The sequence below is a fragment of the Homo sapiens genome, chromosome 7 (genome assembly GCF_000001405.40).
Source record: "Homo sapiens chromosome 7, GRCh38.p14 Primary Assembly".
NCBI lineage: Eukaryota > Metazoa > Chordata > Mammalia > Primates > Hominidae > Homo > Homo sapiens.
Window position 1 is genome coordinate 116,961,569 of NC_000007.14, and position 18,896 is coordinate 116,980,464.

Here is an 18,896-nt window from a genome sequence, read left to right on the forward strand (position 1 = left end):
TGTGTGTGTGTGTGTGTGTGTGTGTGGTGGGGGGCAATTGTGAATAGGTCTGCATTCCTGGTTTGGCTCTTGGCCTGACTGTTGTTGGTGTATAGGAATGTTAGTGATTTTTGCACATTGATTTTATATCCTGAGACTTTGCTAAAGTTGTTTATTAGCTTAAGGAGCTTTTGGGCTGAGACTATGGGGTTTTCTTTCTTTTTTTTTTTTAATTTTACTTTAAGTTCTGGGATACAAGTGCAGAATGTGTAGGTTTGTTATGTAGGTATACGTGTGCCATGGTGGTTTGCTGCACCTATCAACCCGTCATCTAGGTTTTAACCCCTGCATGCATTAGCTATTTCTTCTAATGTTCTCCCTCCCCTCACCCCCCCACCCCCTGACTGGCCCTGGTGTGTGGTGTTCCTCTCCCTGTGTCCATGTGTTCTCATTGTTCAACTCTGACTTATGAGTGAGAACATGCAGTGTTTGGTTTTCTGTTCCTGTGTTAGTTTGCTGAGGATGGTGGCTTACAGCTTCATCCATGTCCCTGCAAAGGAGATGATCTCATTCCTTTTTTATGACTGTATAGTATTCCATGGTGTACGTGTACCACATTTTCTTTATCCAGTCTATCATTGATGGGCATTTGGGTTGGTTCCATGTCTTTGCTATTGTACATGGTGCTGCAATAAACATATGTGTACATGTGTCTTTATAGTAGGATGACTTATATTCTTTGGGTATATACCTAGTAATGGGATTGCTTGGTTAAATGGTATTATTTCTAGTTCTAGATCCTTGAGGAATCGCCACACTGTCTTCCACAAAGGTTGAACTAATTTACATCCCACCAACAGTGTAAAGGCGTTCCTGTTTCTTCACAGCCTCACCAGCATCTATGGTTTCCTGACGTTTTAATAATCACCATTCTGACTGGTGTGAGATGGTATCTCATTGTGGTTTTGATTTGCATTTCTGTAATGATCAGTGATGGTGAGCTTTTTTCTATGTTTGTTGGCCACATAAATGTCTTCTTTTGAGAAGTGTCTGTTCATATCCTTTGCCTACTTTTTAATGGGGCTGTTTGATTTTTTCTTGTAAATTTGTTTAAGTTCCTTGTAGATTCTGGATATTAGACTTGGGCAGATGGGTAGATTGCAAACATTTTCTCCCATTCTGTAGGTTGCCTGTTCACTCTGATGATAGTTTCTTTTGCTGTGCAGAAGCTCTTTAATTATGTGACTCTGGGGTTTTCTAGATATAGGATCATGTCGTCTGCAAACAGGGGTAGTTGACTTTCTCTCTTCCTATTTGGATGTCTGGGCATTCTATGAATATTTGTGTGGTTGAGATAGTTACTGACTTTGGCCTTACAGCTTGATGATAGACTTGGTCCCTTGACTAGAATGCAATCTTCATATGAGACTGTAAAATGAATAAGTGCTTTGTAGGCTGTAAAATACTATTTAAATCTGAGGCATTATAGTAGGTCTTTTCCTCAGAAGGCTATATTCTATATTCTATAGGCTTGGCTCTCACAGTGAAATGACACATTAAACTATATAATAGAATCTTTTTTATCCTCGATATTCTTTCTAAAACTGCACCAAGCAAGATAATGGGTTATTGGATTGTTTGAAACCACACTACTGTCTGTTTGTTGTAAATGTGGAATAATATCTCTCAACATCATTATTGTATTTGAGATGTTGTTGTAAAGATATCTGTAAAGGGCTTTGGATTTTCCAGAAGAGAGAACTTGTAATGAAACTCATTTTTCTTGTTACAGTGGGGCAAGACAGTTGCTGATGTGTTACCATTACCCATCATTTAAAACTAGCAGGCATTCCTATACTACCTACTGTGCTAAAATAAGGAACTGACAGGCCCAGTTAGTTAGCTGTAGCAGTATTTTATGTTGCTGTGGCTGTGGTATCACTGTTTAATTGCAGTTACCAAATCTCTCAGCAAAGTAAGGCAACATTTATCTGAGAAAGCATTTTTTTCCATTCTGAATTAACTGAAAGTGCACTGGTTACACTTATACTCTGTGGAGAACCCTAACTTTGGTTCTTTTTTTTCTTTTTTTTTTTTTTTTGGAGACGGAGTCTCACTCTGTAGGAGTGCACTGGAGTTCAGTGGTGCCATCTCGGCTCACTGTAAACTCCGCCTCCTGGGTTCAAGCGATTCTTCTGCCTCAGCCTCCTGAGTAGCTGGGACTACAGGTGCATGCCACCATACCTGGCTAATTTTTGTATTTTTAGTAGAGACAGGGTTTCACCATATTGGCCAGGGTGGTCTCAAACTCCTGACTTCGTGATCCGCCCGCCTCGGCCTCCCAAAGTGCTGCGACTTTGGTTCTTAAGTTGACCTCCGCATCTAATAAAAGACTGTGGTTAAGTATCAGTCTTTCAGAAATTTTGAGCAAGGTTGTAGAGCGTTAAAGGACTTTAAAGGCATCTCTTAGGTCAGTGAGGAAGGACTATTTGTTTTATTATTTAAAAAAATTAACATTTAAAAACAGCACAAACAGAAACACTCTGAAGTATAAAATCGTCTTAAATAAGGAAGTAGTTTTTACACATAAGCTGCTCATATCTGGAGTTATTGTGTGACCTAGATTTAGAGTTTTGTCTTGTTTTGGTCAGTTGTTAATACCATTCTAAAGTATTATTTTATTAGTGACAGGTAATAGTAGAATGCTTACAGTTCTCTTTGTTAAGCTTTTCCAGTTTCTGGACTCTGTCTTGGGAATGAGAATGAAATTTACTTCCCTACAAATTGGGTTTTTTCATTTATTTGATAGACCCTGTTTATTGAACGTTCCTAATAGAGCTAATAAAATAATGCTCTTGGGGTGTTTTGCAATTTATTACACCTGCTCCACTCAATTGATTCAGATTTGTATAGTGTTACATAATAAGAACTAGTGGGATCTAGTTTGTACTTTTCCCTGGGGCTTGGGTTGGGGAGCGTGTGTATGTTTGTGCAGAATTTCTATTTTCTATCATTGGTATCTTGTATTTAAAGCAAAATAAAACAAATTATACTTTTTTCAGTTCAGGCTCAGAGTTGGCGTGGTTTAGAGAGGAATTTTTGTCTTAGCTTATTTATGTTGCAGAAATATAATGTTTGGCCATTTTCATAAGGCTTTTTAAGGAAAGTATTTTAAATTGTACCCTTACATTTGAGAGATGAAGCATGAGAAGCTAAATTACAATTTTGAAATATTAGAAATTTGCTGCCCAATCGTTCTTTCCCCAAACTGGAAGTTGTATATGCATTATCATTCAATAAAAATCTGAAATGGAATCTTAAAAATCTTATAGCAAATCTAATCAATTAAAGTTATTATCCTAAGAGAAAACTTTTTCTTTCTCTTACATTATTTGAACAAGCAAATTCTGTTCTTAGAGGGAAAGCACAGAAGTCATGGCAACATAACATCAATTAAGTTAGAGCAAAGATATGCAGACTTAGTTTAGGCTATAGAAATATTCCATGGACGGCCGGGCGCGGTGGCTCACGCCTGTAATCCCAGCACTTTGGGAGGCCGAGGCGGGCAGATCATGAGGTCAGGAGATTGAGACCATCCTGGCTAACACGGTGAAACGCTATCTCTACTAAAAATACAAAAAAATTAGCTGGGTGTAGTGGCGGGCGCCTGTAGTCCCAGCTACTCCAGAGGCTGAGGCCGGAGAATGGCGTGAACCCGGGAGGCGGAGCTTGCAGTGAGCTGAGATTGCACCACTGCACTCCAGCCTGGGCGACTGAGTGAGACTCCGTCTCAAAAAAAAAAAAAAAAAAAAATTCTATGGACACAGGGAGGGGAACATCACACATCGGAGCCTGTGGAAGGGTGGGGGGCAAGGGGAGGGAGAGCATTAGGACAAATACCTAATGCATGCGAGGCTTAAAACCTAGATAACACGTTGATGGGTGCAGCAAACCACCACGATGCATATAGGTATACCTATGTAACAAACCTGCACGTTCTGCACATGTATCCCAGAACTTAAAGTATAATAAAAATTTTTTTAAAAAGTATTCCTATAAATGTTTTGTACACTGTTTTTTAATTGCTTATCTATAGAAAATAATGTAACAATTTCTGGTAGCTTTTAAAGGAGAGTTGAAGGAACTGTGATTCTTGAATGAATGTTTTCAGTTTTAACCAAGAGAATAAATGTGATGAAAAATAATAAGATATTTGAAAAAGATAAGACAAACAACACGTTACTGTTGGGGCTAAAGAGAACCTAAATTCAAAGTTTGCATGAAATATGGTCAGCTGCTAAGATGAAACAAAGATTTATTATTGCTCAGTCCAAAGAGAAAACTGAAATGATATTTATAAGTGTAGTGATGAGCAGGTTGGATCTAGCAGGGGAAATGTAGTTGTATAGTAGTGGTCACAGGCAAGAGATTTTCCCCTATCATGTCTTGAACGTGGTTCATTGGTTCATGCCCACCTGGCCATTGGTTCATACCCAACTAACTTTCTAGAAATAAACATGACCTAGAAATAAAATATAAGGTCCATTTTAACATGTTTTCTTCTGTCTGTAACACCTGCAAAAACAAAAGATATAAAAATATGTAGACATTAAGACAGTATCTTTTTTAGTGGATTACACTTATTTGTTGCAGTTATTAATTATTTCCGTAATATATGTTGCTTTTTTCTTTTTTCTTTCTTTTTTTTTTTTTTTTTTTTAAGATAGGAGTCTTCCTCTGTCACCAGGGCTGGAGTGCAGTGGCATGATCTTGGCTCACTGCAACCTCCACCTTCCAGGTTGAAGTGATTCTCGGGCTTCAGCCTCCTGAGTAGTTGGGATTACAGGCACCTGCCACCACACCTGGCTAATTTTTTTATTTTTAGTAGAGACGATGTTGCACTATGTTGGCCAGGCTGGTCTTGAACTCCTGACCTCAGGTGATCTGCCTGCCTTGGCCTCCCAAAGTGCTGGGATTACAGGCATGAGCTACTGCGCCCAGCCGATAATATATGTTGCATTTCATTAAAAACTTGGTGTTCATAAGTGAATGCTACTGATACTTGGCTTTATGGAAATCTCTTTTTAGTATTGACTAGTCACCCAGAAGATTAAAACATGGCAGCTAGACAGGCAATGTCAATCCTTTCAAATCAATTTACTTACTGGAGATTTTAAGTAATTTAAGCAAAGCATCCCCTCTAGGCAGGAAGCCCAGCTGTGATTGTGAAATGACATTATTTTCACCTTGCATTTAATTGAAAGCAGCTCCCTTCTAGTCCTGGCACATTGCTTTCACCCTTTTCTTAGAGGCACTGGAGAACAAGTAACTATTGCTTCTTGCAGCACAATGTTGTATGCCTGTGATTCTCTGTCCTAGTTTACTTACCACAGGATGTAACAAATTATCCAAAATAGGATGTAAAATTTTCAAATCAATAAAAAATTAATGTATCACTTGTTACTTTCAGAAATAAAATGGAGGTTAGGAAATCAAACCCCTTGATGTATGTGATAAAGTGTTACAAAATATCAAATGATTCACTTTGCTATTTGTGAGTTTCTATCACTCTTTTTTTTTTTTTTTGCCACTAATTGCAAAATAACTCATATAAACCTGGGTTTCTCAAGCAATGTTCTCCTAGATGTGTAGGACGAAGGCTATATTGGTATGAATAGGTAGTAATTCTGAGCCTGTTCTGGAAGACCCCATTCCCCTGCAGAGTTTGGTAGGGCTCACATACCCGCAGTGGTGGTGGCCATTAATGACCAATTCTGCCTTTGAGTGCTCCACTTGCGCTACTCTCACTTCTGGCTCCTGGTGCTTAGGACTGCTGTCCCCTCTCCCTGCCTTACCAGTTCCTATTGTGGACATTAAGGAGTGAATTTGGTCAGGCAGCTTGTGCAGGTCAGTGTCCCAGAGGCAGGTCTACAGCTCTAGCGGGTCCAGTCCCAGTGGACCTTTCTGCTAATTGTGTCCAGCCTTTCCATTCTTGAATTACTGACCTGCGATAAAAAATGATGGCGCCCTTACCACATTCTAGCAAAAAGGTCAACAGTCATTTACCAGTTCTGTGATCTTAACACTAGTTACCTTGTTTATAACTGAGCATGATAATGATGAGTACCTCATAGGACTGTTAGGAGGATTAAATGAGATACTATGAAAAAAGCCTTAACCAGTGCCAGCACTTGCTAGTGCTCAATACATTTTAGATATTTACTTGTAGTTACTGTTGTGGCTCCTACTATAATATTGACTTTGTTTTGTACTTCTTGGTGTCTAACTCAATCAGCTTTTTCTCTTAAGTCAGTTTCTAGACTGATAGTTCTTTTTAAATGCATCTGTTCTTCATTTTCATAGTTACATGTATGTCCTCTGTAGGTTTTCTGTTTCCATTCAGTTTTGGGGTGAAATATGATAGCAGCATGAGGAGCTCCACTCCTGGTCTAAATGAATAAGCTTATATTATCTCTTTCTTAACTTTGCTCCTTAACTCTTTGTATTCTGTTACCTGCTTTCATAATTTTCCTGGAACTTCTTAAACCTCATTGGTAATTTCAAAGCTAAATTTCATTAATCATTTCTCAGATTTTGTTCATACTGATTCGTTGCACTATAAAAAAGGATTTAAATTTTTTTTCTAATATTCACTTTTTTTGTTTTGTTTTACAAATTCTCCTCCCTATCCCCTCCCCTACTTCCCTCTCTCCCTCCCTCCCTCCCTCCCTCCCTCCCTCCCTCCCTCCTTCCTTCCTTCCTTCCTTCCTTCCTTCCTTCCTTTCCTCCCTCCCTCCCTCCCTCCCTCCTTCTTCCTTCTTCTTCCTTCTTTTTGCTTCTTCTTGAGACAGTGTCTTACTATGTTGACCGTGCTGGACTCGAATTCCTGGGCTCAAGCAATCCTTCTGCCTCAACCTTCTGATTATTTCGACTACGGGTGTGCGCCACCATGCCTGGCTTAGAAAAGGACTTTATGTTGAACCTCTTTTCTCTTACAATCAAATAATAAATTCATTGAGTCATACTATTAGCGAGTCGCAGTGCTTGGTGCGGGTGTAGAGGAATGGAATGATGACCAAGACATGGTCCCTGTCTTCAGTATCTTGAGATATTGAGCACTCAGGGAAAGAAAAATGGGCACAAAACTATAATGCAAAGTAAAATGTGTAGAGCACAAAGGAGAAATAAATACCAAAACAAGGGGATGAGAGAAAGCTTTCAAATCATAGTGGTAGTTACTGGAATAACTTTAGGAATTCCCAGGCTGCTTGGAGAATATGAGAATGTGCATCTGCTTGGTCCCTTCAGAAAACTGTCAGTGTGACAGATGGGAGGGTGAAAAAGAGGGAAAAGCTAGAATCTGTTGGGGTTAAATTGGAGTTCATTTTGAAGCATTAAAAATAATTGAAATTCTGATATATTTTACCTGTATAGAAAGGGACAGGAAATAATATGAGAAATAATAATAGTGGGGTGACCCATCATCCATATTTAACGTTTGTTAACATTTCGCCACAAGTGTTCATATTGCTTTCTCTCTCTTTTTCAAAAAAACTATTTTTTAGAACCCTTTTAGATGTGGCAGTTTTTCAGACTTTCCTTGTTTTTGATAACTTTACAATTTTGAGGAGTATCATATCTCCCTACAATCCTCTTGCATGTGGCAGTTTTTCAGACTTTCCTTGTTTTTGATAACTTTACAATTTTGAGGAGTATCATATCTCCCTAGAATCCTCTTGGATGTGGCAGTTTTTCAGACTTTCCTTGTTTTTGATAACCTTAACAATTTTGAGGAGTACCAGTCAAGAATTTTTTAGACTATCGCTTAATTGAGATTTGTTTGATATTCTTCTTATGATTTTCTGGGATTTTGAGTTTTTGGGAGGAAGACCACAGAGGTCAAGTGCCATTTTTGTCATGACATAATACCAACTTATCACTGTTGATATTGACCTTGATCCCCTGGCAGAGAGAGTGTTGATCAGGTTTCTTCACTGTAAAGTTACCCTTTACTTCCTCATACTGTGCTCTTGGGAAGGAGTTCGCTTTGCACAGGCTGCACTTAAGGAATGAAGCTTTGTTTCCTCTTGTGGAAATAAATGAGGACCATCTAAATGAGAACAAGTAAAGGCTATTTATTCAAAGCCTCCCATAACAAAGGAGTCAGCCATCATCACTTGTGTTTGGCAGAGACTTGGAGGCAGTCAGAGGAGTAGGAACGCTTTATTGTAGAAAAAAGGGAAAGCAGCTGGGCATGGTGGTTCATGCCTATAATCCTAGCACTTTGGGAGGCCAAGGTGGGCGGATCACCTGAAGTTAGGAGTTTGAGACTAGCCTGACCAACATGGAGAAACCCTGTGTCTAGTAAAAATACAAAATTAGCTGGGCGTGGTGGTGCATGCCTGTAATCTCAGCTACTCGGGAGACTGAGGCAGGAGAATCGTTTGAACCCAGGAGGCAGAGGTTGCAGTGAGCCGAGATCGCGCCATTGCACTCCAGCCTGGGCAACAAGAGTGAAACTTTGTCTCAAAAAACAAAATAAAACAAAACAAAACAAAACAAAAACAACAAAAAAAGGAAAGCTATGTTATAGAGAAAGGGAAAGCTCCAGGTAGGCCCTGTTTGGAGGCTGCTGACGTGGAGAGGGTGGAACATCCTGTGTTATTGATTAGTGGTACATATTTTGCTTTCTCCAGCAAGTCTTAATTTAAAAGTGGGTACAGAAATTAGGGAAGCTGTTAGTTACTGGTCAAGTCCTGACTGTTGGGCTAATTGTTACATAAGTTTTGTGCTTAGTCAGTTTAGGCTACTCTAACAAATATACCATAGGGCTCAGTGGCTTCAACAACAAACATTTATTACGTACAGTTCTGGAGGCTGGGAAGTGCAAGATTAAGGGGCTGGAAGATCCTGTGTCTGGAGGGCTTGCTTCCTGGTTTGCAGATGGCCTTCTCCTTGTGTCCTCACATGGAAGAGAGCAGAGAGAGGAAGCAAGCTTTCTCGTGTCTCTTCTTATAAGGGAACTAATCTCATTTACAGAGCACTCCATCGTCATGACCTAATTACCTCCCAAAAGCCCCAGCTCCAGGTACCATCACAGTGGGGATTAGGCTTCAATGTATGAATTTTGGAGTGACACAAATATTCAGTCCATAGCATTGTGGTTTGGCTTTCTGGACTGATTGTTGTAGGTTGTGAGTCAGAGTTCTATTTTTATATATGGTCTGGTCATTACCTGTTTGTATATTCACTCTTTCACCCACCTCAAAGGTAGTGTTCTATATCAATTATTTTGAATTCTTCTGCATGGGAGATTTGTCTCTTCTCTCCCACTATTTTTTTTTATTTTTTGGAGGGACTGGTTCTTTATTTCAAAAAGACATTTGTCAATATTCAGTATCAAAACAGTTGCACTATTGATTTCTCTTTCTCCCAATTGGACCCAAAGAGACCACATCAAAGGAGAGTACATTTTAAGCCAGTAAGCTGCAGGATGTACACCTAACAGACCTCCTAGAAACCTTACCAGAAAATGGGGACTCGGTAGGGAAAGAAACTTTAAAAAATCAGTAAACTGCCAGCCCACAGAGTGCAGAGGCTGTCACAGCCAGGTGGGATGGCCAGGGTGTCACAAACCCAAAGAAGCAAAGTTTAAAAATAATATAAAATTTAAAAAGTTTTGTACATAAGCTATTCAAGATTTCTGCAGCACTGACTGATACAAAGCACAATGAGATGGCACTTTTAGAGACAGCAGCTTCAAACCCAGAAAAGGGTAATGAGTTTCACATGGCTGAATCAGTGGCAAAAACATAATCATCTTTCTTTCAAGGAGGCAGGAAAGCAATTAAGTGGTCACCTCAACATAAGGGTCACATGATCCATTCTGTAAGCAGTTGGGAGGGGGTAGAGATGGGACAAAAATTTGGTCTCAGAGTTCTTACATCCTGATTTGGTCAATTCTAATGAAAAAAAAAATAAGAAAAAAGAAATAATGTTGTCCAAAGGTATATTAAAGCTGAAAACTTGAACAGCACATTTTTGTTTGTTTTTGTTGTTATTTGGCTAACTCCTCCTGGAATCACCTTTCTGGTTTAGCTGGTACTTTGTACAGAGCAATGAGGTTTCCAATAGTGGAGTCTTTCCCTGGGCTCTGTTTGGCTCTCAGTAAGGCAGGCCTATACCTTTTCTTCTCTATGGAGCGGGCAATATGCATTAAGCTGAAAAGTCACCTTCCAAAAGTGAGAAAAGGATTAGATTGCTGCTTCAGGGCTGTGGAATTACTTGGAATGTTTTACAAATGGTTGCTACAAAGCAACAAAAAAGGTAATCACAAATGTGTACATCACAATATGCCTTTTAAAGACATTATGCATTGTGCTCACATTCCCTTAAATGTTGTTTCCAAAGGTGCTCAGCCTCTAGCCCAGCTGGAATCTCCGGGAAGAGGCAGAGACAGTTTGGGGAAAAAGACACAGGGGAGGAGCGGGAGGCAAAAGCGGAAAGCAGCCTTCCAGTTAAAGATCAGTCCTCAGTTAAAGGTCAGCTTCAGGCAGGCTGGCCTCAGGCAGAGTCAGGGTCAGAGGGAGGAGCAGCAGCAGGGTGGGACTGGGCTTTCTACATCTCATTCAGGTCAAGCAGAGTCTGGACCAGCATCTTTTGTGTACAGAGGCGCTGTCCTTTGGTGCATTTGAGTTTATCTTCCAGGTCTTCAATTGTATTTTCCAGCTTGGCTACCGATCTCTCAGCAAACCCATCACGGGCCTCTCCCTCCTTGAATTTATCAGTAAGAATCTTGATCTCTTTCTCATATTTGTCTTCTTTTTGAGAGTACTTTTCTTCAGCAGGACTCAGACACTTCAGATTCTGGTCCATCAGTCTGATCTGCTCATCCATCTCTCGGCAACGGTACTCTGCCAGCTCAGTTTGTTCCTCTGTGCGTTCCAAGTCTCTTTCAATGATCACCAACTTATGAGCTACCTCTTCATATTTCCTATTTGCCTCTTCTGCAATGTGCTTAGCTTCTTTGAGTTGAATTTCCTGGAGTTCCATCTTTTCTTCATCTTTTAAGGGCTGGTTTTCAATAAACTTCATACCTCTCTCACTCTCATCAGCAGTTTTTTCCGCTTCTTCCAGCTTTTGCAGGGCAGTGGCTGGGCGCTCCTGAGCACAGTCCAGCTTCTCATGAACCAGCTGGATCCTACGGTTCAAGGAGGCCACCTCAGCCTCAGCCTGTTCCTGGGAACACCTTTCTCCCTCAACTTCTCACTGGAGACGATCAGCTCGCTCCTCTGCATCATCTGCCTGCTGCTGCAGAACCTGGATATTGCCCTTAACCGCCTCGATGGTGGTGATCCCAGCCATGGTGCCCACTCAGCTACTGCTCGCACTCCGATTCCTGCCTCCTCTGCTTGGTGTTGCAGCCTCCTCTCCCTCACCCATTTGTTTATTCACTTATCCATTCATTTGTTTATAGCAGTATGGATTCATGGATATTTATTTTATACAGGTTATAATCCAATACTACTTTATTTCATTGTTCACATTTTTCCAGTTTTGGTCCATCGAGAGCTCTGCTGCTTGGCTTCTGTGTTCCTTTGACATACTCCCATGATAGTGGGTTTTTCTTTTGAGAATTTCCTTACTTTTTAGCACTACAAGATGTTCTAGGCTCATCTTGTGTATTTCTTGTCCTCTGTCTCTCTCTCTCTTTATTGATTGGTTAATTGAGACAAGCTCTTGTGCTATCACCCAGGCTGGAGTGCAGTGGCACAATCATGGCTTTTTGCAGCCTTGACCTCCCAGGCTCAAGCAATCCTTCCATCTCAGCCTCCCGAGTAGCTGGGACTACACATGTGTGCCACCACGTCAGACTACTTTTTAACTTTTTGTAAAGATGGGGTCTCCCCATGTTGCCCAGACTGACCTCAAACTCCTGGGCTCAAGCGATGCTACTGCCTTGGCCTCCCAAGGTGTTGGGATTACAGGTGTGAGCACTGCTCCTGGCCTCTCTGTTTTTAAAAATAAACTGTTACCTAGACAGGTAAAGGTACTCCTACATCCCTTTCCCCACATGTTTTCTTTATTGGTAACCATTGTCCTGAAGTTGGTATTGTTCCCATGTATTTAATGTATTCATCAATAATGTATAGTTATTTTGTGAGTTTTAAAAATGTACATGATAGACTACTGCCCATACCCTTCTGCAACTTGTTTCTATTATCAAACATTATGTTTATGAGATCTTCCCATGTTGTAGATATACTTAATTTAATTGTTATATAGTATTTCATTGCATGAGTATACCATGGCATATCCATTTTACCATAAATAGGTAAATTAATGCTGCATGGACCTCTTTACACATGTATTTGATTTATCAAGGGAAAGTGTTATCAATAGTAATGGGATCAACTAGGGAAAGTTTGGAAATTTGTGGGGGACATTTTATTTTTTAAATTTTTACATATTTCTTTTTTCTTCAGGAAATGCCAGCAGGAGGAATATTTTCAATTATTGATTGGGAGAGCCTTATTGACATTGGGAGAGGGTGAGGACAAAGGATGTATGATGACCTGTGACGTGTGTGTCTGCCTTTCTCCCATATAATTTTTAAATATCCCCCTCAGGTATTCTTGTACTTAAAAATTCTTTGTATGATGATCTGACTCTAGAACCTCCATTTTGTCTATAAAACCAAAGTATTTTTGGCATGGTTTTAGTATATGCTTTTTCTTTTCTTTTCTTTTTTTTTTTTTGAGACAGAGCCTCACTGTGTCGCCCAGGCTGGAGTGCAGTGGCGTGATCTCGGCTCACTGCAAGCTCCGCCTCCTGGGTTCACGACATTCTCCTTCCTGCCTCAGCCTCCCAAGTAGCTGGGACTACAGGCATCTGCCACCACGCCCAGCTAATTTTTTGTATTTTTAGTAGAGACGGGGTTTCACCGTGTTAGCCAGGATGGTCTCGATCTCCTGACCTCGTGATCCACCTGCCTCGGTCTCCCAAAGTGCTGGGATTACAGGCGTGAGCCACTGCGCCGGGCCTTTTCTTTTTGAATTTAAACTATCATGCACATTGAGGGAAGAGTTTACTTTGTTCGGAAATTTTACCAAGTTCCGAACAAAGTAACACACTTGTATCATCCTGCATTTGTAGGTTTTGCATTCATGATGACAGTATATAGGAGTGCAAATGTCTGTTTACTTCATTAAATCCTCTACCAAAGTCATGAAAAAATTTGCATTTTTAATATAATTATATTTTCTAAATAGGGCCAGGACTAAGGTGAGGCAAGTGAGGTTGCTTAGGTGCAAAATTTGAGGAGATACAAATGCAAGTGTCCTGCAAGTGCAGGTTCAGTACTTTCACTACTTTGCCTGCTTAAATTTTGCACCCTAAGCACCTTGCTTGCCTCATCTCAATTCTGCCCTGATTATAAGTAATATTTTATGTATTTTTTTCATATTTTAGTTAGGCTATTGCATTAGTCCATTTTCATACTGCTGTGAAGAAATACCCGAGACTGGGTAATTTATAAAGAAAAAGAGGTTTAATGGACTCACAGTTCCACATGGCTGAGGAGGCTTCATAGTCATGGCAGAAGGCGAAGGAGGAGCAAAGGCATGTCTTACATGGTAGCAGGCAAGAGAGCGTGTGCAGGGGAACTGCCCTTTATAAAACCATCAGATCTCATGAAACTTATTCACTATCACAACAGCATGGGAAAAACCCACCCCCATGATTCAATTACCTCCCACTAAGTCCCTCCCATGACACATGAGGATTATGGGAGCTACAATTAAAGATGAGATTTGGATGGGGACACAGCCAAACCATATCAGATATTATGGGGGTTTTTTGAAAACAATTTTTTTTTTTGAGATGGAATCTCGCTTTGTCTCCCAGGCTAGAGTGCAGTGGCATGATCTTGGCTCACTGCAGCCTCCACCTCCCGGGTTCAAGCGGTTCTCCTTCCTTAGTCTCCCGAGTAGCTGGGATTACAGGTGCCTGGCTCCACACCTGGCTCATTTTTGTATTTTTACTAGAGACAGAGTTTCATCATGTTGGCCAGGCTGGTCTTGAACTCCTGACCTCAAGTGATCTGCCTGCCTTGGCCTCCTAAAGTGCTGGAATTACAGGCATGAACCACCATGCCCAGCCTTTTTTTTTTTTCTTTGAAATTTATATGGATTAGGTAGATTATCTATTATGTTTGTTATAGAATAGAAAAAGGGTGTTTCAGATAATTTCCTTTAAAAGGAAATATTAGATCTGATTGGTCTGAGAACCACTGCTTTAGGACACATACTTGGAAGTGCCGTTTGCTGGGCCATATGAGCATCTTCAACTTTACTGGGTATTGCCAGATTCCTTTACAGAATGGTTGTCTCAGTCAGAGATTGCTGTAGTGATGCTACATTAAAAGAAACAAGGCTGGGCATGGTGGCTCACACCTGTAATCCCAGCACTTTGGGAGGCCGAGGCAGGCAGATCACCTGAGGTCAGGAGTTCGAGACCAGCCTGGCCAACATGGTGAAACCCCTTCTCTACTAAAACATACAAAAAAAATTAGCTGGGCGTGGTGGCAGGAGCCTGCAATCTCAGCTACTTGGGAGGCTGAGGGAGAGAATTGCCTGAACCCAGGAGACGGAGTTTGCAGTGAGCCGAGATCAGGCCACTACACTCCAGCCTGGGTGACAGAGCAAGACTCTCTCAAACAACAACAATAACAACAACAACAACAAACCCCAAAAGACCCCAAGTTCAAAACTCAGTGGCTTCATATAGTAAGTATTTATTTTTCCCTGTCAACCTGTGGGTAGATTGCAACAAAAATTAGCTGGGCAGGATTCTGGACTTCAGGCACTGAGCTCCAGTCTGCAGGTTGGATTGAGGTTGGGTTCAGGTCTGCTCCATGTCTCTCATTCTCTTGGACTAACAGTTACCTAGGACATGTTTTCCTCATGGAAAGTGGCAGAAGCAAAAGAAGCCAAGTGGAAATATGTAAAACCTCATGTGGGCCATACATAGAACTGACTTGCTGTCATTTTTGCTCACATTTCATGGACCCCAGCTTGTCACAAGGCCAAGCCCAACATCCGTGAGGTAGGGCTATATATTCTGTATATTCTAGTGAATGGTACTGCAAAGTTATCTGGCAATGATGTGGATTAGAATTCTAGTACAGGGAGGGTGTGAAGAATTATGAATAATGATTCAGTTTACCACATGGTTGTACCATTATATACCTCACCAGTAATAGATGCAAACTCCTGTTTCTCAACATCTTCACTAGTCTTGATGTTACCCAACTTCAACATTCTTGCTAGTTTGATGAGTGTTAAATGACATTGTTATTTTAATTTTCATTTCCAATTATATAGGTCTTTCAAAATACTATCTATTCATTTTAAAAGATTAGTTTTAGCCTCCACTCTAAAGTCAGTTAGAATAAGGAGGCTTTTTGTGATGAAAATAAAAATTTGGAATCTGAGATTATGATAGTTATAATCAGTTGCTCACTTTGGCTACCAATTAATTAATTTGTTTTTCTTTTGCTTAAGTAATGTCAGATATTCTGAGGACCATTAAAATGTCTAGACTCTGTTCTCCAAGGGCCCTGTTCTAACATTCTGATTCTGTGTATATGATGCATTCGTAATTTTCTTTCCATGTAATAATCTAATTTTATTGACCCCACTAAGTAAGTAAGGTGTAGGCATTATATTCCAAACTACTCTTTCAAAAGTGTGACTGTACTGCAAAAAATGCAGATGTTGTGGGTTTCAATAAATGGATTTCTGGTATGTTTCTCTGGGAAGAATGCTTCCTGTTTATTGGCACTCCTCTAATGTGGAGGCAGGTCTTGCTGGAGAGCTGCATTCAAGTGAGGGAGGGGTGGGAAGGAAGAAAGGCACCCACAGAGCTTCTGCCTTGTAAATATAATCTAATTTGTGCTGGGATCAGACAGATCAGTCCAAGAGTGGTAGTATTTTTTTATGTTTTTATATATTTTTTTATTTTGAGACAAGGTTTCACTGTTTTGCCAGGCTGGAGTGCAGTGGCACGATCTTGGCTCATTGCACCCTCTGCCTCCCAGGTTCAAGCAATTCTCCTGCCTCAGCCTCCCAAGTAGGTGGGACTACAGGCATGTGCCACCACGCCCAGCTAATTTTTTTGTATCTTTAGTAGAGACAGAGTTTCACCATGTTGGTCAGGATGGTCTCGATCTCTTGACCTCATGATTCGTCCGGCCTTGGCCTCCCAAAGTTCTGGGATTACAGGCGTGAGCCACCGCGCCCGGCCGAGTGGTGGTATTTTTAAAGAAGCACAGGCCATACCTGAAAAAACAATAAAAATTGAAAAGGAATTTCTTTCTATACTGTTATTTCTTAAAGGAGATACAATTCATAACCCCAGTAACATTTCCAGAGCCCTCCTCTGGCTTCTACTTCTCATTTCTCACTTCTCTCCTCAGTTCTCTCTCCTGTGCCTGGTCAGTGGAGCTTTTACCATTCTCATTCTCATCTGCTCAGCTGAGCTTGGCTGAATCATTCCATGGGCCAGCCTCATATCCTTCTGGCCAGCCTCATATCTTTTGGTAAAACATGGAGACTTACATGACATTTTCAGAGAAGAACCATAGTTGAGGAAGGCCAGGCCAGTGTCTGTGGAACAATGTCTCTCTTACCAGATAAGAAAGAAGTTGCTTCCTGACTTGCAGGTGTGAAGTTTTCTGATATCCCCCGATTTCCTTTTCCCAGGAGGCACCAGCTTCCACAGGATTTGGAGAGGATGTATTCTACTTCTGGTATCTTAGAATCCAGAATCTTGAAAGACAACAGAGGAGATCAAAGATAGAATGGACCAATTACATTCTAGAAAAGGCTGTTGACTAGAACTTTGTTTAGGGATAGTGGGATAAATTAAATGCTTCAATATACATTATGGAGATTATTATGACTGACAAAGATAGGGCACTATATTCAAATGAAGGTCGTAGCAGGAAACATATCATACATTCTATCTATCTATCTATCTATCTAATCTATCTATCTAGAGACAGTCTTTCTCTGTTGCCCAGACTGGAGTGCAGTGGCATAATCTTGGCTCACTGCAAACCTACAGCTCCCAGGTTCAAGCGATTCTCGTGCCTCAGCCTCCGAGTAGCTGGGACTACAGGCATGCACCACCAGGTCCAGCTAATTTTTTGTATTTTTAGTAGAGACAGAGTTTTGCTATGTTGCCCAGGCTAGTCTCAAACTCCTGAGCTCAGGTGATCTGCCTGCCTTGGCCTCCCAAAGTGCTAAGATTACAGGTGTGAGCCACTGCGCCTGGCCCAAATCATGCATTCAAATTGGCAACTGAAGAAAATTTAATAAAAGGCTATTTACAGAGGTATTGGCAGGATAATAATAAAGAATGTTTTATTGGTAACAAAGGATAGCACAGTACCCTGGAGTAAGCAGCAGAAGGGAGCCATGACCATCCTTGGGCACAGCTCTAAAACCTGGGGAGGCAGCCATGTGGAAAGGCTGTGGCCTTCAGTGGAGAGACATAGCCAATCTGTGCATTGGGAGCCTGGAGAAAACGCTCTGTGCCTATTTTTCTCCCACCCTATTAATCCCCTGTTGGGGTCTTTCATTGGCTGAACCCAACCAGAAGCCTAGGGCAAGCAGCAGGGAAAGTGGAAGGGGAGGGACAAATGGAAAAATAACTAGCAGAAGACATTTTCTCTGACTCATTGAAATATTTTTTTGTTTCACTGTCTCTTTTCCTAACAAGAGGCATTTCTCAAGATTCCATTTACAGCAGTCTTCTTGTCTTATGCTGTATCTTTCAATAAGCTTGTGTAAATGAAAGTGAGATCTTTCTCCTTTCTGTCCTCTCCCAACTTCCAGGTTTGCATTTTCAATTGCCTGTTGTATATTTTCACTAAGGCATAGGTTACTAGCTCTATCTCTTCCTTTTAACAGAGTGCAATTTCTCTTCAAGGCTCTTAATAGTCTTCATCTTTTCTTTCCTTTATATACGTTAAGTTACTAAATCCCATTAACTTTGTATTGCCTTAATCTCTCTTTGCTTCCTACTTCTGCCTTTATTTCAACACTTATAATCTTATTACAGTAATCTCCCAACTGGTCTTCCTGCCTCTAATCTCTCCTAATCTATCCTATATGCTGGGATATTGCTTGCAAATTCTTTAATGTCTTTCTATTGCCTAGCAAATGAAATAGAGACACCTAAACCTAATATCCTAGGCCTTCTACCGTGAGCGCCACTGCATGTTTCTGGCTTGATACTCACTGCTTTTCTTCATACACCATGCTCCATTCAAAGTATGCTTTACTAAATGTAACTTTATTATATTTATCATGCTCATATTCCTTTTTTCTTTTTCTTTTGTTTCTCTTTTTTTTTTTTTTTTTGGAGACAGAGTCTCACTCTGTCGCATGGGCTGGAGTGCAGTGCTGCGATCTCGGCTCACTGCAACCTCCGGCTCCTGGATTCAAGCAATTCCCCTGCCTCAGCCTCCCGAGTAACTGGGATTACAGGTACCCATCACAACTCCCGGCGAATTTTTGCATTTTTAGTAGAGACGGAGTTTCGCCATGTTGGCCAGGCTCGTCTCCAATTCCTGGCCTCAAATGATATGCCCGCCTCGCCTCCCAAAGTGCTGGGATTATAGCCATGAGCCACCACGCCCAGCATTCATATTCCTGATCACCTTAAAAATTCTTCACTTTTGTTGTCATGGAGGCCAGATGAGTCATCTGCAAGTTAGACACCTGTAGTTTATCTGAGTCCGAACACTTCCTAATATCCCACATTCGAAGTGTCCCACATAATCAATATACCCTATTGGCTCCTTAGTCTCCTTGTCCTGTGGCTCCTTCACAGGAGCTTCACTTTTCCCT

The 18,896-nt window shown here is 40.9% G+C and overlaps 1 protein-coding gene and 1 pseudogene across 10 annotated transcripts in view, besides 2 other annotated features; one reads left to right on the top strand and one right to left on the bottom strand.

The window, feature by feature from the left end:
* ST7 (suppression of tumorigenicity 7) overlaps nucleotides 1–18,896 on the top strand; it is a 276,676-nt gene that overhangs the window by 8,068 nt on the left and 249,712 nt on the right. The window lies entirely within an intron of this gene.
* Nucleotides 1,791–1,840: a silencer, noted in NCBI's record as "silent region_18568". NCBI's record gives its function as "represses an Ori minimal core promoter by ATAC-STARR-seq in GM12878 lymphoblastoid cells {active_cell/tissue: GM12878}" and the evidence as "EXISTENCE:reporter gene assay evidence [ECO:0000049][PMID:35858748]".
* Nucleotides 7,802–8,359: an enhancer, noted in NCBI's record as "NANOG hESC enhancer chr7:116609424-116609981 (GRCh37/hg19 assembly coordinates)". NCBI's record gives its function as "activates a minimal SCP1, AML or CMV promoter by ChIP-STARR-seq in primed H9 embryonic stem cells {active_cell/tissue: H9 hESC(primed)}" and the evidence as "EXISTENCE:reporter gene assay evidence [ECO:0000049][PMID:30033119]".
* On the bottom strand, nucleotides 9,329–11,417 carry TPM3P1 (tropomyosin 3 pseudogene 1; annotated as a pseudogene).